Raw genomic sequence first — 27,545 nt, forward strand, 5'->3', positions numbered from 1 at the left:
TAAATTAAGTCGCTGAAGGAAATTACTATCATATAATGCTTCTGTATTTCTCTTTAATGGAGCATGTAGAACACCTTTTCCCTACACATAATAGGATTAATATTTAAAAGCATCATCTTCAGCCAAGTGCAAACCTTTGTCTGCCCTCAGGGAAAGACTAGCCAATGAGAGGTTATTCTGGTGATGTAATGCTTGTTACCTTGCTCTCTTTCAGGCATGATTGGGGAAGATGCTTTTCAGAACATCAAACATGAATAGAATTTAACTCTTTCTCACATGACTAATTTTAGCACATAAGCCACCTGCAGTATTTCATAAATGTGTTGCTTAAGATCGCCCTGAAATAGTTATGCAAAATCATTAGAGTAGAGAATTTTTGTTAAGCATTGACATCTGTATCCACTGGCACTTGCCAATAGCTCCCCACCTTTCTTGAGAGATCACTTACTTCTGTATCCTGATCCTTACGTAAATGGGCAAAGAATATATTAACACTAGCCAGCAGCAGATAAGCTTATTATTTCCTTCTCAGACACAGATACTCATGAAAATCAAATCAAAAGGAATAGAAACCTAATATGTGTTTTCCAAAGTCAAATTAATCACTCTGTCTCTCATGACCATATACAGGGTTTATCTTCATATCCATATACTTTATTTCAAAAACAAAAAAGATTTAAGCAAGTATTTTAATAACCAGGTGTGTTTACAATGATATTATAATCTTCTGCCTCGTGAATAATTTTCAGATCTCTATTGATGCTACTAAATGTTTATTAATGTTCAGAGAAGCCCTAGCCCAGATCAGGTGAAGACCTATTACCCCTTACATAGCCTGATTCTATGAAAACTGATAGGCAGGACAGGGTGAATATGTGTTGGTTTCCACCAGCGAAGTATGCAAAAATGCAGACACTGAGCTAAAAAATTTCCGGCGGATATTATTTCATGTAGTATCTCATTCCCATTCCCTCCTCCTCCACCCAAACCTCACTTTTTGAGCAAAAGAATGCAATAGTAAGCATGTTGTCTGAAAAACATAATTTGGAAGAGGAAGATAATGATACCTGAGCATACCAGTGGTTTATCTGATCTGACACCAGGAATAAAGCAACTCAGACTGCTAAGCCAGCTGTGTAATTTGAAGTGTAATATGTAGTTCAGAGATGATGAGCTATGAGAACTTATAGTCAAAATGTTGGAAAATTAATATATTAGAATCTTTTCCTCTTCATTTCTTTTTTCCAGAATATCCTGCTAACACTTTGAGAAAACTGAGTTAATTTTTGGCACTTGAGCCATTCTTTGGACTTTTCTACTCGTTTAGGTCATGATAATACAGTTGCATTGGAATGGGGTGAAATTATGGGATTATAGAGCATTTCAAACCTGGCTGTGAATAATGTCTGTACATATAGGAGAGTGATAAGTCACTGTAACTTCACTGAGCCACAGTTTCCTCATCTATTAAAATGAAATAATTAAATATTAATTATTAAAACAGCATAATTCTTGGCAAGTAATTAATAAGTACTCAATTGATAGTAGCTATGGTTTTTACTATTTTTTTCATAGACAAATAATATCAAAGCTGCTTTACCTTTCAAAGTTAGAAACCAAACTATATAAAAATAATTTTATACCCACAATAGGTTTTCTGATATAACAAATTGTATGCCACTTTTAAATTTTGAAATAAATCATTTTGTTTTCCATTGAAGATTCAATTTGCACTTGATTTTTACTTTCCCATATTATTTAGCAGAATTTTATTTTTATATATTAATATTTCAAAGTTAGTGCTTTACAAATATATGACTTTGTGTTCTATTAGTATAAATGGTAGTAGTAGTGTAAATAGTAGTAGTACTGTAAGTAGTAGTAGCAGCAGCAGCAGCAGCAGTAGCAGTAGCAGTAGCAGTAGCAGTAGCATAAATGTTACTTCTAAAGACCTGCCAAGTTTTAAACGCATTGCTTCTCCAGTGCTTGAGAAAAGGTCCTGGAAGGCATTTCTCAGGCCATTAAGTCAGCTTATTGAAAAGTGGAAAATGCAGTTTATCACCCTAAAGCAAAATGAGTAGCTCAAGTTTTTCAGTAAATTAGCTTAAACTAAATTGATATTGTTTACATCCAGTGAAAAGCACTGACACATTTCTGCAAATTGATTTTAGATTTTAAGTAAGGGCAATTTAAGTTCACTTTCTCAAAATCTGCTTAGTGCCTAACCTGTGTATGGAGATATTCTAAGATTAAAAACAACCACCACAATGACTTGGCTTCTGCCTTCTAGATGCTGATGTCTAGTTAAGGGAACAGACAGTGCACAGTGTCTTAAGTTCCATAATGGAGGTAGGTATAAAATTATTGGAAATATAGATGGTGGGGCTTTCAATTCAACACTGGAGGAATGAGTTTTTCAGAAAAATTGTAGACAGGTGACATTTCATTGGCTTTCAGGAAATAATGAGTTTCTTGTTTGGATAAGATGGAATAATGATCCAGGTAGAAGGAACAGTTAGAGCAAAGGAAGAAAGGACTAAAAATTCATAGCTGTTTATTGAATGGCTATTGACCCATTCTAATGTTTCTATAGAATAGAATGCATTAGATGGAAATGTGGCAATGGAAAGGTTGTGCTTTCTGTATAGAGACGCTGTTTGGAAAACTGAAATATTACCTTCCAAATCATAGTATTCTTATATTTTCTTTATAGCATCCCATCAGAAAATTCATAACACATGTTAACTATATATATTTTGTGATGTATTTAAGCTTACTGGACCTTTCTTCAAGTAAAACAATGTTATTCCTTTGCTTTTCCTCAGATTTAAAAAATTATTCCAATGTACTATTCACTTCAAATAAAGTAAAGGTAAATCCCACAAATCATCCTTCAAAAGGGCGACATAAGTTGTGCAAAAATAATACTAAAGATATAGACAACATCTATTTATTTTGATTCATGCAGAAGTCTATATGAGCTAATTGTAAAAGGCAATACATCTAAATAGCATGTGGTTAATAATGTCAGATTATGCATTAAAGAAATATTGTCTATGCTAACTTTTTACTAAAAGTTATTTGGAAAAACTTCATTGCTCTTATTCACACAGTAAACCACCATACCATCAAGTAAATGAATGCAGTAAGTCATTCACCTTTCATACTGTGGGTGTGAAAACATTCTTAAATAAAACTTGCTGAGAGTTATCTGCCATTTTCTTTAAGTATACAGATTCTCCATGACTTATGATGGGGTTACATCCCGGTAATCCTAAGTTGAAAATATCATTAGGTCAGAAATGCATTTAATACACCAAAGATCATACCTTAGTCTAGGCTACCATAAACATGCTCAGAACACTTACATTAGCCTATATTTGGACAAATAATCTCATAATGCAGTACATTGTAGAGTATTGGTTGATCATGGTTGTTCACCTTTGTGATCTCATGGCTGACTGGGAGCTTTGGCTTATTACCACTACTCAGCATCTTGAGAAGTATCGTATCACATATCACTAGCTGGGAGAAAGGTCACAATTCAAAATTTGAAGTATAGTTCCCACTGAATCTGTATGGCTTTTACACAGTTGAAAAATCAAAAAATTATAAGTGAAACCATTGCAAGCTGGGGACCATCTGTATTCACTGAATAAGTTCCCATACCTCTGAACAGGACTATGTATGTGTTCATAATTCAAGTATATTTAGTGATACTTACTAGACTTGAATTGAAATGTATTATCCACACATACATTGTGATATTGTTATAACAGGAATAATTCTATTTAATAAATGGTATGTGCTCAACTTTCTATATTCTATGTCCCTGTGTCCCTTTTGTGACCAGTATCATGTATTTTAGAATTAGTTAACTAGAATTACAGGTAACTGGGTCAATCATGGGTTTCATTATGTAAAACAAACTGAGCTGCATGGAGCTTGAACCTAGGTGTCGGTCCATTTTGGTCTTTCTGTCCACCTTAGATATCATCCACAGAAGTATTCGTCTAAGTGAGTGTGAGCGTGTGTGTGTGTGTGTGTGTGTGTGTCTGTTTATTACAGCCTACTTGATTCTAAAAATGATTTGTATATATAATGAAGAATCACTATATTCAGCATGTTTAAAAATATTAAAATCTCAGATATTTTAAAATAAAGAATATCTGTTTGTTTTTTTTCCTCATCAGCTGTTAAAAAGAAAGCTGGCTTTATCACTCCAGTTCCAGGAGGTGTGGGACCCATGACAGTGGCAATGCTTCTGAAGAACACCCTTCTGGCAGCTAAAAAAATCATTTACTAGATCACATGAAAGGATAAAGCAAACTGAAGTCATGCTATTTGTTTATTTGACAAAGGGTAAAACCTTTATATTTTACTACAAAGCTATTTATTTCTACATGGTATTTATTTTTTCATGGGTGAAATCATTGTGAATCAATTGATTCACATAGTTTTATGCATTTCCTGCTAATTTATTTTGAGTTTTAAGAAAACAACCAAAACAATTCCAATGAAAATTTTAGTAACAATTGTTTATTTTGAGGGTATTTGTTCATAACATTAAAACAATAAAGGGCTCATAATAAATAAATATATTTTTGACACAATTAAATATTACATAGAGTATGTTTACAACAAATATCCTGTCAGCCAAATGGTTACCCATATAAAATGTAATTTAGGTTTTGCTACTTGCATGCTAACATTTTTAATGTATTTTATGATCTATGTCATATATTAAAAAAGAGCTTGCTTACTACAAGAAAAATATTGAAATATTGAAAATATTGAAAATATTATTATTGAAAATAAAATCTTGATCTCAACTATCCCCCAAATGCATCCTATAAGTCCATCCTAATGAGAAATGATGTTCTATTTAAGGAAAGGAAAATATTCCGGGAAGGCAAAAAATGCAGTGCTGTTTGGAAGTGTAATGATTTTATCACATGGTGAATGACTACTAAGAGTAATGATTATATCACATTGTGAATGACTACTTGCCACAGTAAAAATACATGAAGAATGTGTTAGGTTTAAACGTCGTTTCTTTCTTCTAAAAAATATTTGGTTAGTACCTTCACTGAGCAATAGTGGAAAAATAAAAAAATAAGTAAACAGAAAAAACTAAAGTTGTATTTTCCCACAAATATAGTATGAATGAGGTCATATTAAAGAACAGCAACTGTTAATGTTTGTTCACAAATTCAGAAATCTAATAGGAAAACATGATACTTTCAATGTGCCAAAACTAAACCTTAGTATACAACTAAAAATCTCCTGCCTTCTTGCCTACCTGTCTTCCCTCTTCTGTTACAGAATTTGTTCCTCAAAGTAGATGCAATGTTTCTAACACAATTTAAATTAGGAAATATATATGAATGTCGTTGAAGTCTATTTTGAGACTGCTAAAGCTATTAATTGATACTGTGTTTTTATGCCCAAATCCCAGTATGTTTATGTACCAATAATGACTCTTACCCAGCGCATGTCTTTATCAGTGTGTACTCGTGACGATTTGTGTGAAAATAGACTTGATGTTTATAATTAATACCATTACAACTGTATAATAAAAGCAATTTGAAGAAAAGCTGTATTCTTTTTTTCTGTAGATATAAATTTCTTACCCATTTCCTTACTACATCCTGGAGAAATGTACAAGTTTCTAAAATGTGAAAGAAAAGTTTATATAGCATATTCCACAGTCAGTTCAGATCAATTGTTGTCTGATAACCCTGATGGAAGTTTAAATTTAAAGTTTCCAAGCAAACATTCAGAAAGGGCCTCTTTAATTTTTAAGGGTTCCTAACTCCCAAAACAAATAAAGTGACTAAAATACATGTATGTGGAAAATGTGAAGACTGTAATTTTGAGCTCTACCTCAACAGAGGTGCAGGAAGGGTACCTTTGGAATAACATTCAGAATTTAGACTTCCCATAAACTAATTAAAATGCTGTAGAAGAAAAATTACTCTGACACTTGTTTAAAACAGTCAAGAAGATGTTAAGACTATTGCAGTGGATGAAGGAGATTGAACTAACTATGAATACAACATAGACAGCTAGAGATTTATAGCCAATGAGCAGAGCTAGGGGGTTGGTGGATGAAAAATTACTAAGAGGACCTTTAGATATTCAGGGTAGGGGGATTCTTGTTAAACTGGCTTGTCAGGATGCTTGATAACAGCAGGCCAAAGACTTAGATATCAAAGGAAGAGGATTAGAAACTAGATAAAATAGCAATGGTGAGGGACCCTCCATAAACTGACTTAACAGGATTCTTTGCTAAAACTGGGCTCGATGGGTCTAGATCAAGACCTGATCAGGGAGAGAGCTCAGAGGAGCCTGACTAAGATTCGGTGAAAGAGTCAACATATTACAGAGGTAAAGTCAATGTATTGGAACCATAACTTTACAAGTATTTGAAGTCCTTAAAAGATAGACATGTTGGCCTTGTGGAGGAGCATAGAGATGGTTTTCTTCTCCTACCATATCTGTATCTGTAAAGTATCTGTAAAGAGCGCCCTAAAGAACATAATAAAGTTACAGAAATGATTATGAGCTTACCATATATGTATGAAAGCAAGAGTTGCAATTAGACAAAAATGAAAGGTTTGTTTTGGAAAGTGGTACAGCTGGATAAGTATGCAAAAATAAATTAGAGGAGTGGATAAATCAGAATTTGGCAGTATTTAGCAAGTTACGAGAATTGTAGTTAGAGGTCAGAAGATGTTATCATTGACTAACATGAGGAAATTGTAAAAGGGAGCTGACTTTGGAGTAGAGATAATATGTTCAGATTAAAATATGTTAAGTTTGAGGTGATGACATAATACATAGATAAGAATTCTGAAGTAATATCAGTCTAGGAAGAGGATAAGAATTCATAGTTACTGATAAGAATTTAGGACTCGTCAGCATATACGGACACACTAAATTCCTGGCCTTGGTAACCATTATACACACTCTGTGTCTTTCCACACTTGTTCAATAGTAACAACTATCCTTAACTGAGCACGTAGCATGTGCTAAATACTTTCCTCTTTTGTTCTTTTCTTTCTTTCTTTTTTTGAGACAGGGTCTCACTCTGTTTCCCAGGCTGGAGTACAGTGGTGTGGTCACTGCTCACTGCAGCCTCTACCTCCAAGGCTCAAGCAATCCTCCCACCTCAGCCTCTGGAGTAGCTGGGACCGCAGGCGAGTGCCACCATGCCCAGCTAAGTTTTTCATTTTTTGTAGAGAAGGGTCTCACTATATTGCTTAAACTGGTCTCAAACTCCTGGGATCAAGCAATTCTTCTGACTTGGCCTCCCAAAGTGCCTTTTTTTTTTGTCTTTGCTCATTATTGACAATCTCCACTTGATAGATGAGAAAATTATTGACCCTCCTGGTTATTAAAAAGCCTCAGCCAAGGCCAAATAGATAGAAAAGGTGGAATCTGAATTCACAACAAAGTCTGTTGGGATGATGTGAGTCAGAAGCCACTCCTTTTACTACTCCACTCTGCCTTCCCTCAGATCCTGCCCTCACCCCGAAGTCCTTTCTCTTATTACTAGGTGTCTAAATCCTACTTGCTATTTAAGATTCACTTCAAATGAAACTTGTCCATGAAAAATGTCAGCCCTTAGCTCTCAGAGCTTTTATGCACACATTCATGGCAGTTGTCACTCCCTACCCAGTACTGCAGTTATGTATGTACTTTGCCTAGAACCCTTTAGTTCCTTGAAGTCAGAATCCATGCATGATTTCTCTATTTGTCTTACAAATATCATCTCACCCAGCCTAGTGCCATGGATATAGTAGTCATTCAATATTTTATGAATGAATGCAACTGAATCCATGAAAGTGATAGAATAAACTTAGAGAGAGAATCAATGAACTGATCACCATTCTCTGCCAATGACCAGTAATAAATTTTGGTTAAGTTAGTGAAACAGCCAGGAAAAAAAGATAGAAAGGGGAGGGAAGAATAAACTTTCAGAGATTCTCTCTTCTAGCATAAACTTCTAGAAGAAGAGAGATAAGTAAATTGAAAAGACTGGAAACATGGCATGAGAGAAAAGTAGTAGTGGAGCTCTTAGCCTCTCATTTCCTTCTCCTTTCTCACCCTAACCTGCTTTAATGCATATTAAGAATGAATAAAGATATCAGAAAAACCACCTTACAGTATCCATCTGCCCCCCATTCTTTAGGATTTGGAGAAAGGACTTTTGGGTGAGAGGATTGAAGATGTGAAGGGAGTGGACTTTCCTGTAAAGATTGTTAAGTGGGAGCCATGAGTATGGGCCCCAGAGGAAAGGCAACATGTTTGATGACTTAAAGTTACTTTCTGGTATACTCCATAAGCTAAAGCAGAAGATGGGTTTCTATATTAAGTGGCCCAGTTTACCAGAGAGGCTTCAGTTCCATCTCTCAGCACAGATGTGAGTGAAAATCACAGTTAATTAAATATTTAGTTTTTTTTCTAATAAAGGTAATTTATTTAAAGCTTGATTTTAGGAGATAATTGAGGGAATTCTTTTGAGATCAGTACAACAACTACTACAAGAGAACACAGCTAGGTAAATGGAAAGAGCATACGATTTAGAATCTGTAAATATAGAATTGAAGTCCTTTTTTTTGTTCGTTTTGTTTTGTTTTGTTTGTTTGAGACAGGGTCTGTAGCCCAGGCTGGGGTGCAATGGTGTAATCATGGCTCATTGCAGCCTTGACCTCCCAGGCTCAAGTGATCCTCCTACCTCTGCCTCTCAAGTAACTCATGCCCAGCTAATTTATTTTTTGTAGAGTCGGGGTCTTGCTCTGTTGCCCAGGCTGGTCTCAAACTCCTGGGTTCAAGCAATCCTCCTCCCTCAGCCTCTGAAAGTGCTGAGATTACAGGTATGAGCCACTGCACCTGGCCAGGATTGAAGTGCTGACTCTAGGCATGTCCTTTGGCAAGTCACTTAATTCTTTTGGGCCTCAATTTGTCATTTGTCATGTGAGAATAGAAATAATGCCTATTTATTTCCTTATTCTCTGAAGACAGATTCATTGAGTATTTACTAGATGTTAGGCACTGGATTTGTTTGGGCCAGGGTTACTGAAGAAAGAATTGAGATGTGTAGGGAAACCTGTAAAGTGCAAAGGACTGCACTAGCTACAGTTAAGAGTTTTTACAAAGATAATCTTTGTACTTTGATGTCTCAGTCTTAGAAATAAACTATTTAATCCCAGCACTTTGGGAGGCCAAGGTGGGTGGATCATGAGGTCAGGAGATCGAGACCATCCTGGCTAACACAGTGAAACCCCGTCTCTACTAAAAATACAAAAACTTAGCAGCGCCTAGTGGCAGGCACCTGCAGTCCCAGCTACTCGGGAGGCTGAGGCAGGAGAATGGCATGAACTCAGGAGGAGGAGCTTGCAGTGAGCTGAGATCGCACCACTGCACTCCAGCCTGAGTGACAGAGTGAGAAAACATCTCAAAAAAAAAAAAAAAGAAAGTATTTAATATGAGTCCTAACATCTCCCTCCAGAAACTACAAAAAGAATTGTGATGGTTTATTTAATCTTTTGTAAATGATTTCTTTTTAAATTCTCAGCAATGGTGCAAAGACGATTGTTCAATTTATAATTCAAATGTTATTTGCCTGGGAAATATATTATCTAGAAATCGACTTAGTAATCAACAGTTTTTTAAAAACCTACAAAAGTAGAAATGCAAAATGTAGACACATTTAAAGCGAGCCAAGTACTATTATATTATTTTAACTTTAAAATGATGACTCCTGTGGCAAGTGATTGCCCAAGTTATAATGAGTTCAACAAGCTTGTTCTTGTGTGATTTCTAACACCACATTTATATTTGAATAGTGAAAGGGCTCCTTTCTGGTAAATCTAATTTGCTGAGTGGACATGATGCAAAAGATAACCTATCTTGACTTGAATATGTTTTTAGGGTTTTGAGGTTTCAAGTTTCAAGAAAATACAAGGAATTGAAATTCCAGACAGAAAGACTCAATGCCTCAGGAAGATATATTTATAAATCATTTATATTAATTTGGGGCAAGTGAAAATTTCTGTAGTTGTAAAATATAGTAGCTGTAATGACATATTTTGGCCTTTAAAGTGCCACTTTAATAATTACAACTAGATGAACTTGAGAAATAATTTGAATGTTGTATTAACTTAGAAACTTTCTATTCATTGGATGTATCCAAACTAAATGTCATCTTAATTTTCTCTTAATGGAGAATTTTAATATTATTATTATTGCTATTATCATTATGTTGGTACTTTACTGGTTCTCTGTAGCTTAATCATTGGGATGCAGATTTAAGCATTGTTGTTCCTGGAATATGGCAGCCCATTTCATTTACTCAGAAAAATGTTAAATAGCAGGATGACAGAAAGGTGAATATTATACTATTAAAAATAATTTTATTTACAGCACTTGTCATAGTAACACTAAGAAACAAACACTAAAATGGAATATGAAACCTCTGTGTTTTCACAAATTTAACTGTTCTCTGCAACTAAATTAACAAATTATCTTGATTTGAAATGGAACTTATAGTCTGTAATAAAAGGTGGTATAACCAACTATAGTTTCAGGTATATTTCTTTTAGAAACAGGTTATGCTGCTTCCTAATTTGCAGTTATGTTTGTTGAACTCCCGTATAGGTTTCTAGCATAGTTTGAGCTGGTATAGTTCTCTTCACACCAATGGGAGCCTTTCCTGAAATTACATTTTGTTCTTGTTGTTTTAAGTACTTTTACATACATGATTATGCCCACAGGTAACAGGAAACCAGTGTTTCAAAAGAAAACTTGATCACATTGCTAGATAATACAGGTATCCTAACCAAGTGCGTGAGCGCCCAGAGGCTTTCTGCTGCTGCCAGAAGTACATATTTTTTTGATTGGTAAGAACTGCCAGATGACGCTTCATGAAATATAAATGCAACAAAGACTCAGAGAGCTCAATAAAAACCTTCCACCCGTCAGTCTAGAAGGATAAGAGAAAGAAAGTTAAGCAACTACAGGAAATGGCTTTGGGAGTTCCAATATCAGTCTATCTTTTATTCAACGGTAGGTAATTTCCTTTTGTTTTGTTAACTTTATATCAGTGTAAAATGTGAATAGAATTTATTTTCTCTGCATTAGAGAGAAGTTGGCTTCTAACAGTTGTTCTTTATGACAAAGATCAGAGTAATGAATCTGTGGATTAATTTAGTTTCTTATGTCCTGTATGTTCCTTTCCTAATATATTTTGACACCTTTTTTGAGACCTCCAGAATGTTTGCTTTATACAATTGAAGAGTAATTGATACATTTAGCTACTATACTATAGGGTTCTTATTTTTTAATTAATATGTAAATGTATCAATGGTCTTAAATATTGGGTTTTTATTTGCTTTAATCCTAATATAGTCAATGGAATGGATGAGAAACTGTAAGTATGTTGCCCTAGTCACGTTATGGATTTCAACTGTAATAAATTAAAAAAATAGAAATTGGAATAAACAGAATAAGAATACTTTCCATCTGTTGCTTGTACATAGAAGGAGGCTCTCTGTTAAAGATGCTTTTGCCCCCTTAATACAGCAATGACAGCACTGACCGAAGAGGCAGCCGTGACTGTAACACCTCCAATCACAGCCCAGCAAGGTAACTGGACAGTTAACAAAACAGAAGGTATTTTCTTCCCATTTTCATATTTCACAAGACTTTTCTAAAACTTGGGAGAGAAATTTGGATTGTGATAAAAGCAATATTGGCCATTTTTAATATATATTTTATTATTAGATAATCAGCTCTTTTAGCAGGATGCTGTTAAATTGAAGTGACAGATAAATGTGCCAGGAAATAATTGCCTTTTTAAAAGGAGGAAGTTAAGCAAATGAGACAAAAGCTGTCTTCAGTTACTGTCTTGAATGTGAAACAGGCCACATTTTCTGCTTCATTTCTGCTTGGTTCCCAATAACCCCTGTGTGTACAGAGACAGTTTGTCCCCATTTTGGCATTCTTGATGAGCAGCATTATATTTTGATCTGTGATTATAAGCTTTGATGCCAAAGACATTATGGCTACAAGATGAACAGCACTTTCCCTCATCTTTGGAATGACCTTTTTTTCTTGTTTGCTTTGGAGTTTTTGTTGTTATTTTAGCATATGCTGTATTTCCTAACCACTTGTACCCAATTTTTGTTGTTGATGGTAATGATATATTTTCTTTTGCACTTAATTATTATCACAGTGGCTTCTGGATGCTCTTGAGCATCAGCGTTCTTTCTCTAATCTGTTTAAACTCTTAGAGGTGAAACTTGGAAAGCTTGTTGCTTACCAAGACCTGTGACTGAGTGGTTATGATTCTTCTGCAAATCGCATCCTGATTGCTATGTGAAGGCTGGCAATTTGATTTAGGACAGAGGAAACAATGTCTTGCACTCAGAGTCAGGCAAATAAAGGAAGATTGTCATATCTCAGTGTTCTTCATGTCACCAATAATTTAAAATTTTAAATGATTGTCTCGAAATATTTTACCCATTTGATTTTTTGAATATCTGTTGATTTGCAAAACGAAATCAATGTGGGTTATAGAATAACTTTTAGCCAACTATTTGTCTTCTAAGCCTTCAAACAAAGAGGAAACACCTTATTATAATTATTATATTCAGTACTATATTATACTGGCCTGGCACAGTGGCTCGTGCCTGTAATCCCAGCACTTTAGGAGGCCAAGGCGGGCAGATCACCTGAGGTCAGGAGTTTGAGACCAGCCTGGGCAACATGGTGAAACCCTGTCTCTACTAAAAATACAAAAATTAGCTGGACGTGGTGGCGCATGCCTGTAATCCCAGCTACTCAGGAGGCTGATGAAGGAGAATTGCTTGAACCCAGGAGGTGGAGGCTGCAGTGAGCTGAGATGGGGCCATTGCACTCCAGCCGGGGTGACAGAGTGAGAGTCCGTCTCAAAAAAAAAAAAAAAAAAAAAAAAGAAGATAATATACTGCAGAAAATTAAAGAAGCATAGTTTTCTCTCAATGACTGACTTCGTAATAGCATGCTCAGTACTAAATTTTTTTTTCTTCCTTAATGGTGAACAGCAAATAAAATATTTTGAGTTACAAGTAATAATAATGGTAAAAAGGAATCCAATACAGTCATCCTCCGTTATTGGTTGAACATTGGTTCCAAGACCTCCTCCTCCTGCCCAGAGGGTACCAAAATCCACAGATGCTCAAATCCCTTATATAAAATAGTGAAATATTTGCATATAACCTATAGACACACACCCATGTACTTTAAATCATCCCTTGATTAGTTATGCCTAAAACATTGTAAACGCTATGCAAATAGTTGTTATACTGCATTGTTTAGGGAATAATGACAAGAAAAGTCAGTACATGTTATGTACAGATGCTTTTTTTTCAAATATTTTCCCTATGAGGTTGGTTGAATCCACAGATGTGGAACCTATGAATACAGAGGTACAACTGTATATCATTTCTGTATTTTTCCTTTGCTTTCTTGATGGAGAACTTTAATTTTTCCTTTTGTTTTTTATCTAACTTAAAAATATCAATCTAGTATCTTAGAAAAATTTTTATAAAGTTATGATCATTCTCATTCTTAGGGGAAAGATGAGTCTCTCTGGTATAACTTTTCTTTAGAAATGGCTTAATTCTCACATTTTTCTACCAAATCTAGTTTCAGGCTTAGTTAATCGAACTTGTTTAGTCTTGAAATAGAAAGCACCCAGCACAGTTTATAATGGAAAATTCTCACTGCCTGAGAATTAATTATTAAAATGATAAATTATATTCATCCTATTCAACAAAATGAACGTGAATTAGAAGATAATGTGTGTTCTCACCAAAATAAAGTAATACAACATAGTATTTTGTTTGTAATCTTAACATCTAAAGATTTAGCATTTTTAATATAAAAAAGAATGCCTTTTAAAACTGTTTTTTCCCTACAAACAAGTAAGATTCTCTTAATCTTAGCAAGGCAAATATGGTATACCTTTATCATAATGATGAGGAAATATGTTTATTTATAAAAATGACAAGTAAAATCCCATTAATTCTGTTTGAGAAACATTTAAGAATCAATAAAGTATGCCCCAAAGGACTCAATTAGGCAATTTTACCTAAGGGTCACTCCCACTGCATAAACACCAAGAATGGCATAGGTCTGTCTTTTGTACATCAGAGAGAATCAGGAATAAGAATCTTGTTTATTATCTCACAAGTGTAAATTCAAATCTTCGCAAGTGCTGACTTCTCAGGTGTAAAGGAAGAAAATCGAAATATTATGTGAGATCTTCTATGTTAATTAGTATTCAGACACAAGTCTGGGAAGCATCGCTCAAAATAACCTGCTAAGACTAGAACCAATGCTGCCACCTTTTGGTGAATTTGTTGCCTTTTCTGTCTTACTGCATTGCTTCTAAAAAGTGAAACAATCATCAATCCACCTCCATCCCCTAATTAATTAATAATATGTCATATGTCTAGATGATATTAACCCAGCCCTTGTGAATACAACCTGCTAAGAGAATCAATAGTTTAAAGGACACAGCACCACCCCCAAATATCCTTAAAATTAAAAATTTATTTACATATGTATTAAAAATTTACCATAAAAGTAAGACACATTTCATTTGCTAACATTGTATCTCCTTTTCCTAGCTGACAACATAGAAGGACCCATAGCCTTGAAGTTCTCACACCTTTGCCTGGAAGATCATAACAGTTACTGCATCAACGGTGCTTGTGCATTCCACCATGAGCTAGAGAAAGCCATCTGCAGGTAAATGCAAAGAAATATCCAAGTCCTAGAGACAGGAGATGAGTTTATGTCTCTGTTGTTTCATATAGTACATTTCCACACTTTTCTCTCTTTAGTTTAAAAGGGTGCATAATCTGAACATGACTTGACAGGCCTCTACATATTTGAATATCTAAGGAGTCTTTTGTCCAAACTATTTAATTCTCATTAATTAAAAACATGGTTCCCAGATTAGCAGCATCTCTTGAACCTGGGTGCTTGTTAGAAATGCAGGATCTATGCTCTACCCCAGAACTATTGAATCAGAATCTGCATTTTTAACAACATGCAAAGGTGATTTTAAGTTTTGGGGTTGTTTTCAGGATGAAATGAAGCAAACTAAGGCAAAAACATTACAGGAATATGAAGTTCTAGAGCAACTAAGATACTATTTTTATGATCATGATTTGCTCAGTATTCGCCTATGGAAGAATAGGCTAATGATTTTTCTAGAGTAAATTATGCAAGCATACTACCTTTTCCCTCTACTAATGAAGGGAAAATATGGGGCCTTAATGATTATTGGAAAATTCATAGCTGCTTCATTGCCCGTAACAGATTGGCTTTCATTTGGTATTTGCCTCTTTAATTTAAATTCCTTATTTCCATTTATTTTTTTAAATTTATTGAAACAGGTTATTTGTATTTCTACCACCGTAGGTTTTAAAATTAAACTTTTTTTCTTTTTTTAAAGGTGTTTTACTGGTTATACTGGAGAAAGGTGTGAGCACTTGACTTTAACTTCATATGCTGTGGATTCTTATGAAAAATACATTGCAATTGGGATTGGTGTTGGATTACTATTAAGTGGTTTTCTTGTTATTTTTTACTGCTATATAAGAAAGAGGTATGAAAAAGACAAAATATGAAGTCACTTCATATGCAATCGTTTGACAAATAGTTATTCAGGCCCTATAATGTGTCAGGCACTGACATGTAAAATTTTTTTAATTAAAAAAGAGCTGTAATCTGGCAAAAAGTTTCTATGTAATATTTTTCATGCCTTTTCTCATAAACCCAGACGAGTGGTAAAAATTTGCCTTCAGTTGTAATAGGAGAGTTCAAACGTACAGTCTCCCTTCAACCTATCTCTGTCTGCCCATATCAAAATTATAAATGAGGAGGACAGCAGGCCCCAAGAAAGTAGGGACTAAGTATGTCTTGTTCAAAATTGTATATTCAGTGACTTACACTATGCCTAGCACACAACACACACTGAGTAAATATTTGTTGAGTGAAATAAAATCAAGAAACAAGTAAAAACTGAATAAAAATGTATGACAAACATTGGCCATTTCTTCCCAGACGTCAACTGGGGGTATCTTCAGAAGATACTGTCTCCTGCTAAAAACCTAAGAAGATAATCACAAATAATTGTAATTATTTACATATTCATTCTTATTTCTTGTTTTTTCCACATGAGTAATTTTTCCTTAAATCCATGTAACTAGGATAAAGTCAAGAAATAAAGTGAGATACCCTAACAAAAAATATAAATACATTATTTCCCTTGCTGTACTCTAATAAGTTGTCATTTCTAAATGACCAAAACTGCCTGTTCAAAATTAGAAAAGTTTGTTTTGCTTAACAAATGCATCTTAGAGAGAATCAAATCTATATTATATCAGTTGTAGATTTGCCTAAGAGACCAAAAATATAATAATAATAAGGGGGAGGAGGAGGAGGTAAGACTTTTCCACATTACTAAGGTGGCTCTCTGAGGTCAGATTTCCTAGAAGCGGAGCCTTCAGATAGAGATTGCTGTGCATGTGATTAGTTGAGGGAGTACTCTACCTTTATTTTAGGTGAAACCTGTAATAAAGTAAGGAAAGCAGATGGAGCACAAGAAGAAGCTAAGCAAAGATGTGGCTTTAACTGAAGTGTAGCCCCAGCCTGATTCCACAGGGAGATCTAGAATGTGAATAGCAGTGTAGACCTCTCCCAAGGAGATGAGGCATCTGGATTTCAATATCCCATATTATTCAATCATGGATTCATGTGGGGTAAGGAACAGGGGCTTGTAATCTCCCAGCAATCTCCTGGCAGGGCACTCAGTTGGCTATGGGCAGACCTTGGGAGAAGACTGCTGCCATGAGCCTGTTAATGCCCACAGCTGCTGAGGGATGGGTTGACCAATGGGTAAAGGGGATCTGGGTGGGACACCAAGAGCAACTGCTGCAGGGTGCATTTATGTAAGCTTCAATGACCTATATGAACCACAGTCAAATTCATATGGAAACCAATGCTCTGTTTCAGGTGTCTAAAATTGAAATCGCCTTACAATGTCTGTTCTGGAGAAAGACGACCACTGTGAGGCCTTTGTGAAGAATTTTCATCAAGGCATCTGTAGAGATCAGTGAGCCCAAAATTAAAGTTTTCAGATGAAACAACAAAACTTGTCAAGCTGACTAGACTCGAAAATAATGAAAGTTGGGATCACAATGAAATGAGAAGATAAAATTCAGCGTTGGCCTTTAGACTTTGCCATCCTTAAGGAGTGATGGAAGCCAAGTGAACAAGCCTCAGTGACACAAGTCAAATTCATAGTTTCACTCTGGGTTTTTTGTTGTTGTGTGGTTATTATTCTCACTACAGAAAGACTGAGTTTCATGCTCCTGGCTATGTCAGATGTGAATTTTCATGGGAATAATAATCAACCTTGCAGCAAGCCAAAGCAATGCCTCGCTTGGGTTCTTCATGTTCTTACTACCCAGCGTTTTTTACCACCTAGATGGGCCTCTCTAAGTCTATTTGCTCAATGAACCTTATCCCAAACTTGTTGTTTTCATGGTGTCTGAAAGAATGTGATGTCAGCTTTTAGAATGAAATCAGTGTTAAGGTACCTCCAGTGAACCAAACATGTGTCTTAAATCTAAGCCACTGAAAACAGAAGGGAATGTCCAAGGCAAATACAAATCATACACAGCTTGTAACAACATACAGCCTTTCTATGTGAAATAATGGAATAAACTAAAGAGTTTCTGAAGACTGAAGCTATCTGGATATCAAGTCTGGAGTAGGCAAAGCATTTCCATTTCTACATGGATTATAAAACTTTGTGTTGGACTCATTGGTCCCTAATGCTTTTGTTCATCACTTCTTCCAGTTATCAGTGGAATTACCTGGTGACCATTCATTTGGACCGAAATCCTGGAAGTCTCCTACTGAATAAAAGTCTACAATTGGCCCTAAAATAGAAACTGAAAAACAGGACATAGAATTTTTTCACCAGACCACAGCATGTGGAAACTTTCTTTATCATTTTTGAACACTTGTTAACAGATTTGCACATAGAGGGAGAGAAAAAAAATGGAGTAACAGTCAAAATAATAATAATCAGTATCCAGGCCAGGCGTGGTGGTTCACGCCTGTAATCCTAGCACTTTGGGAGGCCGAGGCGGATGGAGCACCTGAGGTCAGGAGTTTGAGACCAGCCTGGCCAACATGGTGAAACCCTGTCTCTACTAAAAATACAAAAATTAGCTGGGCGTGGTGGTGCATGCCTGTAATCCCAGCTACTCCAGAGGCTGACACAGGACAATCACTTGAACCCAGGAGGCAGAGGTTGTAGTGAGCCGAGATGGCAACCCTGCACTCCAACCTGGGTGACAAGAGCGAAACTCCATCTCAAAAAAAAAAAAAAAAATCAGTATCCTTCCTCTTAGTTATATTTCTGCCACTTAATTCAAACAGTCATATGCAGGTCGCTTAATTTATTTGTGCTTTTGTTTCATCTTCTACAAGGCCCTCTTAGCTCTAAAACTTGACAGTGGAATAAGGAAATGTTTTTCCAAATCTGCATTGCCGGTGAGATCCTCAACATCAGCATGTTGAGATGGACCTCAACCCCACCTCTAACCCTGAAACACACTACTCGATATTATCTTAGGTATGTTTTAGGGTTTAGTTTGTAAAATAATAATTTATTTTTGAAGGAAATATAAAATATTAAAGAGTAATAATAGCTATCATTTTTTAAGATTCAATCTAAAACAATGGACTCTTTTTTTTTCCATTTGTGATGTAGATAAGCAAGACAATTTTGATCATGAGTGGTGAAAAGAGGATCAAACTTGACTATTCTTGCAATGGCAGTCCAGCAACAAGCCTTTCATTTACATTAAATTATAACTTTTCATTCATTCCTAAACCAAACTTAAAATTCTGCTTTCCTTTGAGTAGAAGGTATTTAACTTGTTTTGTTTTTCCTTCAGAAGGAATTTAATGCAAACGGATTGCAGTCAGCACTTTCTGAATGTTTTCACACAGTATGCAAAGCTTACATCATACCAAGGAGTGGAGAGTTGAAGTTTCCTCCCAGTGACTCCAGTGACAGACCACACCTAGAAAGCGTTTCTCTTCCTGAGTATTTCAAAAAGATGTAAAAGAGCTGGGGAGAGTATGGGAAGAAACAATACAGGATTGCCTTTAATTAATTAAGAATTGCCTCCTGATAAAAGGAAAAAGAAATTAATGCTGGAGTATGGAGGGGTGATAACCTTAAAGATTATAAATATTTGTTGTCTATAAATACTTATAAATTATAAACACAATATAATTAAAATTAGAACATCAGGAAAAGAATTAAAATCCTCAGGTTGCAAAACCAAAATGTTAACCAAAACAAATACTCATGAGATTCAACTTTGTTCACCTATAGAATAGTACTTATTAACAACATAAAATCTACCCTGTGAGATTGTATGGAAACTCAGAGTGTGGCTTATGATAACCATCTGTTTATGATATTTCATATAAAACAATCTTGTGATCCTTGTAGTTCCTACCATTAATTTTGTAGGAAGGAATCTCTGACATTCCTATGGAGCTAGAACCACATCTGTCAATGTTTAAGTACCTAAGCAGAACTTAAGAGGAAAATGCATAAATATATTTGGAAATTGTTTCATTTTTTTCTATATGTAAGAAGACCCTAAAAAGAGCCTTTCAGTAAAGTTTGTGCTTCAGAACTACACTTTCAGCTATCAATCAGTTGTGTCATTAATTGAGGGTGGATTATTTAGGAAACAAATGCCAACATGTTTCTGGCATCTTTGACTACATTACACCAGCCAAGAGGTTCATCAATTTCTTTCATTCCCCATTTTGTCACTTCCCTTCGTCTATCCTCCAATTATTTGAGAACACATCCTTAAGTCATCAGTATTCATGAGTGCTTTATTATTTAGCATTTCAGAGTATAATGAGGATGGGGCACAGAATATAATGTCAGCCATCCTGGAGCCAGTAAATTTGCAAAAAAAGTAATTAAAAATGCTTGTCATTATATTCTCTTTCCCCAAGGTAGCTTTTTGTATAGTTGTGTTTTCATAAAGTTTGAAAAGGATGAAATTATAACATAGTTCATCTTTTAGTCTTTCCTGGCACAATACAAATCTAATCCTTTAATTTTAACATGTTCGTTTTGGTGATGTCAAGATTTCCATTCATTATATCTAATTGAGAAAAAAGTCATAAGAAAATAACAAACATCAGCAATTTAAGCTTTTGATGTTAAACATGAGGACAATTCATCTATGCAGAGGACCATGAGGAAGCCATTTAATGTCTCTGCATTACAAAATGTAACATGCTTTCTGTGAAGTGATATAAATATTGGTATCCTACTACCTACACTCATGGGAAGGGTTACCAAAATCCGTCTATTGCAAAACATCACTCTTTCTCGCTTACATCATGGCTGCATGACATCAGGACATGAGTAGCTGCCAAGATGAACTATAAATGTTGAAACTTAATTTGCCAGTGTCTAGCACTGCTAATCTGGGTGAGCCCACATTTTTGTCCAAATCTTTGGCTCAGACCTATTCAGTAGCACATTCAGAAATGTCTTTTCTAAATTCTGCATTTTTATTAAGTATTCAATTTTTATTAATTATTTAATCAATCAGTGCCCAGCTCAGAGTATAAGAGCTTAAGCAGTTAATTTTCTAAGAATTTTAAGTCTAGGCCCCTTGAGAATATCCATGTGAATACAAGTAAAATAGTATTATATTTTACTTCTCTTCCAAAACTAAACATGATGGATGTTCCAGATTGTCGGCAATACCCACAGCTTCCAAAGAAACATCTCATAAAGATTAGAAATGTGATTATGTGTTAACAAGAAGAACTGAATTGTTCAGTCAGGTCTTATCTAACCACCTCATGGCCTTTCTTTGTCATTTTTTATGTCTCAGATATTATTGGGGCATACGTCATCTAGATTAAAATTTGGTTAAGTCTACAGTCAACCAGCTGTCAAACTAGCAGTATTACTGATCTTTAAGAGGGTATTCTTCTTTTTTTTTGTTTTTTTTTTTTTTGAGATGGAGTCTCACTCTGTCACCAGGCTGAAGTGCAGTAGCACAATTTCAGCTCACTGCAACCCCCGCCTCCCTGGTTCAAGTGATTCTTCTGACTCAGCCTCTTGAGTAGCTGGGACTACAGGTGTGTGCCACCACACCCAGCTAATTTTTGTATTTTTAGTAGAGACGGGGTTTCACCACGTTGGCCAGGATAGTCTCGATCTCCTAAGATGGTATTAATTAGGATTCACATCTTTCTGAAAAGAAAAAAATGGCATCTCTAGATCTTTAAAATCACACTAAAAATTAATTCAATATTAAGTTCCTTAACAAATCAAGTTAAAGCAATAATGTAATACAGTAACCATTTATGAGCACTTGCAATGTTTGAAAGCATCAATTGCATTATTTTAGTTAATCCATGCTTGTGTGTAATTGAGGCTTAGAGAAGGGAATCACTTGTTCAAGGTCACAGGGCCTCAGCCTGAACCAGATGCATCTGATGTCAGAGTTCTTCATCTAACATCTAAGCTCTATATAATAATGCTTCCCAATATTTTATGAAAAATATTACTGTTGAGGGATAATTTCTTAGTGAACTTAAAAGTATGCCCAAGTAATTAGTATGCAATTGAAAAAAGTTATTTTCTTAAAATATAGAAAATAATAATTTTTTTTTTGAGATGGAGTCTCGCTCTGTCGCCAGGCTGGAGTGCAGTGGTGTGATCTCAGCTCACTGCAACCTCGACCTCCCAGGTTCAAGCAATTCTTCTGCCTCAGCCTCCCAAGCAGCTGGGACTACAGGCGCCCGCCACCACGCCCAGCTAATTTTTGTATTTTTAGTAGAGACGGGGTTTCACCATGTTGGCCAGGATGGTCTCAATCTCTTGACCTTGTGATCCGCCCGTCTCAGCCTCCCAAAGTGCTGGATTACTGGCGTGAGCCACCACACCTGGCCACAAAATGATAATATTTGTCATGGATCAACCACAAAATTCCCCTGCTGTCGTCTGCAAATTATTAAGATATGTATAACACCCTCAGGGTGAGGTCAGATCAACGTCAAGTGCCTGCTGACAGTTGAGTGCACAGTCTGGGGAGAGACTGTATACTGTAAAGGAATTCTGGCTTATCCTCATGACTCAAGGAATGAGGAGTATTCTCTTAGAGCACTCTCTTGGAATATTGGGAATATTCTACTCTAACCTGTAGCCAGTATTCCTAGAGAATACTGGAAATATTCTAATCTTGGCTACAAGCTATTTCCCAACATTTTTTTAGCTTTATTGAGACATACCTGACTCAGGTTGTTTTTGAGATGAGGGGTGAGGAATCCAAGTGATTGTCATGTCTACAGTAAAATCTCATCAACCCCCTTCTCTCCACATTATCCTCAATCCTACCCCAGCCCCCCATGCACCTTGCAGAAAAGCAGTAAGTAGCGGTGGTCCAGCTTAGGAAAAAAATTGGAAAATAACATTTTAAAAAATCTGTGCAATAGTTTGGCACTAAAATGACCGGTCTTCTAGTTCAGCTGTGTGATCTGAACTTTACTGGGACTCTTTGGATATGATATCCTTGCCTGTTAAGTGGAGAAGTTAGACTCTGAAGATGACCTCCACATTCCCTTCCTGGTTGGAAGTTGTACATTGGAAATGTGATGCCGATAAGCAGATCTATTCCACAGACATATTCCCTTTAGCTTTCGTGGTGTTTGTTTTAAATCAAGCCCACATTTAAAAACCAAGCTCTTTTACTATTTTTAAAAATCTAGCCTCTTTTGAAAAATAAAAAATATAGAGCTCTGGTCCTATTTTGTTTGTGCCAGCGCTCTATATCTTTTGTAACTTTGGTTAGAAGGAGCATGCCTCAATACCCAACTGCTGCTGCTGCTTAGGCTGCCAGCACAGGGTCCTATGGGCCTTTAAGTCTGCAAACTTGCTTCTTTGGTTTCATTTTAATCTTTCCTCATCTAAATTCTCCTGAGTCTAATCATCAAGATGCCTGTAGAGGGCCCCATTGTACTGCAAACCTCATAAATTATAAAGGAGTCTCAGATCAAAGAGTCGCCCAAGAATGTGCTTATTAGGAGAACCCACACTCACCTGGAAACCGGCAGGGGTGGCATCTGGTGACTCAGGCACTGCCCTGCCCACACCTTCAGTCACTCTCTGCTATAATCCTTGCCAGATCTGTCATTTCAGTGCACAAGCTTGCTTATGTTGCCTCCCAGCTTGAGAACTGACACTGACTCCCCATTGTGCACCATGTTTAGCAAGGACTGTTCAGCCTGCATTGTGAAGCCCTCTCCAGGGAGGCTCAGGTGGTCTGTCTTTCTCATCCCCCCTCGCCCTATGCATATCATCAGCTGTGGCCAACCACTGCTCTATGCTCTGCAAATGGGCCACACAATCCATTTCTGTGTTTTACCGTCTCTACTGTTCCTGCTACATGTATTACCCTCCCTCACCTCTGCCAAGATCACATTATTTTTTTCAAATGCTGCCCCCTCCTTAAAGAATGGTGTTATTTACAAATGTCATTTCTCCTTCTTTTGAATTTCCTTGACATCTTTCTCTTTTTTTGTACTTTTCAAACACTTACATTCTGCCTTGTATTATAATTACTTATGTTCTTAGCTAAGTTCCAATGGTAATAATGACAATGAACTTCATTTATTAAATTCACATCATAGACTGGGCACAGTGCAAAATGATTTACAGATAGTATCTCCCTCAATCCTCAGAGACATCCAGGTGAAAGGTTTTATTAGGGGTTGTGTTCAACAGTGGTTAAGAAGACAATTGTCTGGAGTTTAACAGACAGGTTGAAATCCAGCTTCACTCCTACTAGCTGTGCTACCTTAATCAAGTTTTTTTTTTTTTTTTACTTTTCTAAGCCCAAGTTTTGTCATTTGTAGAAATGGGACAATATTTATATCATAGATTGTTTTGAGGTTAATAATAAGTGCTCAATGAATGTTAGCTATTGTATTACAATTGAATTCCATTTTTCACATTAGGACACTGAAATTCAGAAAGTTTAAGCAACTCGTTCAATGATATGCACCCAGTAAGTGGTGGAACCTGGATTTGGCTGCAAGGCTGTCCAGTTCCCAGGCTTTGTGGTCTTAATTAGTGACAGGCAGGTGAGCACATGGCTGCTGGTCTCTCTGAATACAAGTCCTGCTGCACTTAGCACAGTTTGGCCATGGTTGAGTTTGCCCAGTGTTTTTTGAAGTGGGATCTGCATTCTCAGAGAGCTGGGTTTTGAACTCCAGCTGTTTATTAGCTTTGTGGTTGAGAATAAATTATTTTATCCCTCTAAATCATAGTTGCCTCCATTATAAAATGGGGAAAATAATCACACCCACAGGATCATTTTAGGGTTAAGTTAAATCAGATAGCTAATACAGGTAAAATTCATAGAACATAGCACTCATTCAATAAATATTACTTATTATAATTATAAATCATCTAAAACTCCCATTGAAACTCTTAATGACACTCAACACGGTAAGTTTTGTTACAAGGTGACATGTATTCCTAAAAATCATTACACTAAAAAATTGAGCAGGATATCCTACAGGACTCATTCAAAAATGGGGGTTTGAGAAACAATATTCAAAAAACTTCTTCAGTAACATATTAAAAACACCAAAAAAACTCTAAAAATGGTAACACAATTTTATACATTTTAGGTGGTTAAAATATACATAAACAGTACAATAAACATGGTACGTTGTCTTTAAAAAGACCTGCAGTTTGCTTGTGGAAGTGGGTATTGGCAGGGTTTAGCTTGTGAATTATTATCAAGTGATGGAAGAGGGGTTTTTAAAATTGGGTGGAAAGTTATAACAGCAGATGTGGTTGAGTGTGGTTTATAACTCAAACATGAGCCAAGATCGCTGGTAGATATTTGAGAATTGCACACATGTATGCTCTCTCCTATGCTGCTCTGCTCAACAGTTTTCTCCTCATCTAGCATTTCTCTCAGGTGAAATTATACCTAAGCAAACACAAAGTTCCTGTTATGTACAGATTATTCTTTATGTTGGAATAAACTCACGCTTTCAAGACAAGCATTAAAACAGAACTGACTGTACCTTGAAATTATCACAACCCTTGTATCTCAGTCTCAACCTTCATGATAATTATTAAACCTTTGAAATATTCTGATATTAGGCACTCAGGACCTTGGGACCTGGGGGTTATCATAACCCTCATTTCTCCACCTAAATTTACAAGTGTCAAGGACAAAATTCCAAAGCCCCATATTACTGTGGATTCAAGTTCTCATCATATTATTTGTACTTTTTTTCAAGTTATAAATGATTAGAAACCTTTATGACTATATTTTCCTTCTTAAATCAACTAACATTCAAAGATGGTTTTCATCCTAACATTATCAACTTACTGTATTAATAGGAATAGCTCCAATTCTTCTTCTTTTCCTTGAGACTTATTCCCCTCTGTTTTACCCTCTGAGCAAACTGTTACTTTTATTCAAAAGTCTTTAAATGGCATGGAAGAAAAACGGTTTTGCTTCCTTCAGCAGTCTATATTAGGCAGTATATTAGCCCAAACTGCAGATCTTACAGTAAGAAATTGCTTAAGAATTGATGAAACATTTGATTAAAAAAAGGAACAATTAAACAAAGGAATCTATAAGAAATAAGAGAGTCAAACTTGGTATATACAGGTATTAGGGTCCCCCTTTTGAGTCTAACACATGTTACTGTCAGGGCTTAGGTCTGCCTAGGTAGGCTAAGCAAACAGGTGCATCTGCATACTGGTGCTTTGGGTAGACTGAAGTCCATTTGCTTGAGGAACTAGAGAGCTTCCGATAGGTGAACATACCTTCAGCTGCTCCTTAAACCTGGTTAGAATTGATTTATCTTCCAGTGGTTTGTATTTGCATGTTGTAAAAATTAAAAGTTTTTTGTTTGTTTTTGTGCCTTCCCAGCATCCATGCCCCTTCCAAAAACCACACCAATTTTGCTGTGGAGTACCATTCTCCTTCACCTTCATTGCGCCTGGTTTAGTTGTGCATCCCTCAATTCTCATTCCAGAAGTAATCAAAGCATTCCATTACCCCCAGTATTACTGCTATAGAGACAGGAACAATACAGAGTGGTCGCAAGAGAATAGAAAATTCCAGGCAGCAGTTTTACATAACTAGCAAAAAGAAACTGTTGAAATAGCTGCAGAGGCTAGGGGCTGATAAGACCCTGAAAAACAGGGTGTGGACCAAGCTGCCTAAGAAAAACTGGACACAACATGGTGGATTTGACCTTGCTGTTACCTAGGACCTCATTATATGCTCATTAACACACTAAATCACACACCCACAGGTGCCACGACAGTTCCAGGAACACACCTATTTGGTGTAAAAATGGGTGGCATCGAAGTTAGAGAAATCTTCACCTTTTTCAAGGAACACTCATGAATATTCTGTTCCTTGGTTAAAGAAACCCATAAAGGTAGAAGTCTCAAACTCCACTATACAACTCTGAGTACACCCACACTCCCCTTTCTTGAGTGTGTACTTTTCATTTTGAAATAAATCTCCATACTTCCCCTATTTTCTGACTTATCCTTGAACATTTTCTTGTGAAGGTGTCAAGAACCTGGGCACCGGCTCGGTTCAAGTTCCCACCAACATTTGGGAACTTCCCCCAGCCCACAGGTATTACTAGCATTAACTGAGTGGCATGCATTCCACCTAAGCTAGTTCAATGAAAATCAGTGCTGGGATTTTTATTGATACCCTCTCTGGGAGGTGATGGGGAGTTCTCTCTTTCAGATTGCATTGTTAAATCAGCAGAATCACATCTTAGATTTTCTAAAGCTGGTCAGTGCTACTAGAGAACAATAGGCTACCTGAGAATGAAACTACCACAGAGAGAAGCAGGGAAGATAATCAGGTTCCTAACAACATTGTTTGAGCCCCTGATTTGAGCCATGTTTTGAATTTCCAGCTTTGCCTTCGGATTTCTTTAGATAAATTAGCCATTAGGGTTCATCATTATCTTAAACATTAACCATCTTCCTAGGCGATCATGTTTACTCAAAGATTAAAGTAGAAAGTTCTGAAATTTGTGCTCCTTAGAGCTTCTTTAATACATATATACAGTCTCACATTTTCATATAAGCCCAACTCATTTTTTAAATGAAAAGCTCAAAGACTAAAAAATTTGCACATACAGTGAAAAACAAAAAATATGGCACTTTTTTTTCACGTTTAGAGGATCTGGATATTAACATTGCGGTTAGTAACCCACATGGTTATGCTGTTTATAAAGTATGCTTTCTAGATGCATCCATGAGTCCTTTACAGAAAGGCTTTTTCGAACATTAGTTTGTAACCTTCTAAATCAGTAGCAATTTTTAATTTTTGATTACATAAAACCACTGG

General features: G+C 36.0%; 2 protein-coding genes and 1 long non-coding RNA gene across 23 annotated transcripts in view; 2 read left to right on the forward strand and 1 right to left on the reverse strand.

Annotated features, from left to right (window-relative positions):
* The window catches only part of MTHFD2L (methylenetetrahydrofolate dehydrogenase (NADP+ dependent) 2 like), a 188,540-nt gene extending 182,944 nt beyond the window's left edge, over positions 1 to 5,596 (forward strand). For all 12 annotated transcript variants that reach the window (NR_147097.2, XM_047415712.1, XM_047415715.1 and 9 more), the window contains one exon: positions 4,194 to 5,596. Coding sequence is in view for 11 of the 12 variants with exons in the window: in XM_047415715.1 (XP_047271671.1) it covers positions 4,194 to 4,306 (113 nt within the window). In the remaining variant the exon portion in view is untranslated. The remainder of the gene's footprint in view (positions 1 to 4,193) is intronic.
* The window catches only part of LOC105377276 (uncharacterized), an 87,048-nt gene that overhangs the window by 19,210 nt on the left and 40,293 nt on the right, over positions 1 to 27,545 (reverse strand). The window lies entirely within an intron of this gene.
* EPGN (epithelial mitogen) lies at positions 10,967 to 19,286 on the forward strand. 9 transcript variants are annotated; one of them, NR_073114.2, is made up of 6 exons: positions 10,967 to 11,073; positions 11,590 to 11,679; positions 14,682 to 14,802; positions 15,515 to 15,541; positions 16,626 to 16,823; positions 17,077 to 19,286. NR_073114.2 is itself a non-coding variant. In NM_001270989.2 (5 exons), exons 1-5 carry the CDS (start codon positions 11,031 to 11,033, stop codon positions 17,132 to 17,134), a joined length of 465 nt encoding a protein of 154 aa, NP_001257918.1. In that variant the 5' UTR covers positions 10,967 to 11,030; the 3' UTR covers positions 17,135 to 19,286. The 9 variants fall into 9 exon arrangements, 7 of the variants coding, with proteins under 7 accessions (NP_001257918.1, NP_001257919.1, XP_011530119.1 ...); NM_001270989.2 differs by lacking the exon at positions 16,626 to 16,823 and having other exon boundaries at positions 15,515 to 15,667; NM_001270990.2 differs by lacking the exon at positions 16,626 to 16,823.

Source organism: Homo sapiens, chromosome 4 (assembly GCF_000001405.40).
Source record: "Homo sapiens chromosome 4, GRCh38.p14 Primary Assembly".
In the NCBI taxonomy this organism is placed as follows: domain Eukaryota; kingdom Metazoa; phylum Chordata; class Mammalia; order Primates; family Hominidae; genus Homo; species Homo sapiens.

Coding starts and splice junctions, on each gene's coding strand:
- EPGN (NM_001270989.2), top strand. CDS start 11,031: ATGGCTTTGGGAGTTCCAATATCAGTCTATCTTTTATTCAACG. Junction 11,680..14,681: donor GACAGTTAACAAAACAGAAG/GTATTTTCTTCC, acceptor TCCTTTTCCTAG/CTGACAACATAGAAGGACCC. Junction 14,803..15,514: donor CTAGAGAAAGCCATCTGCAG/GTAAATGCAAAG, acceptor CTTTTTTTAAAG/GTGTTTTACTGGTTATACTG.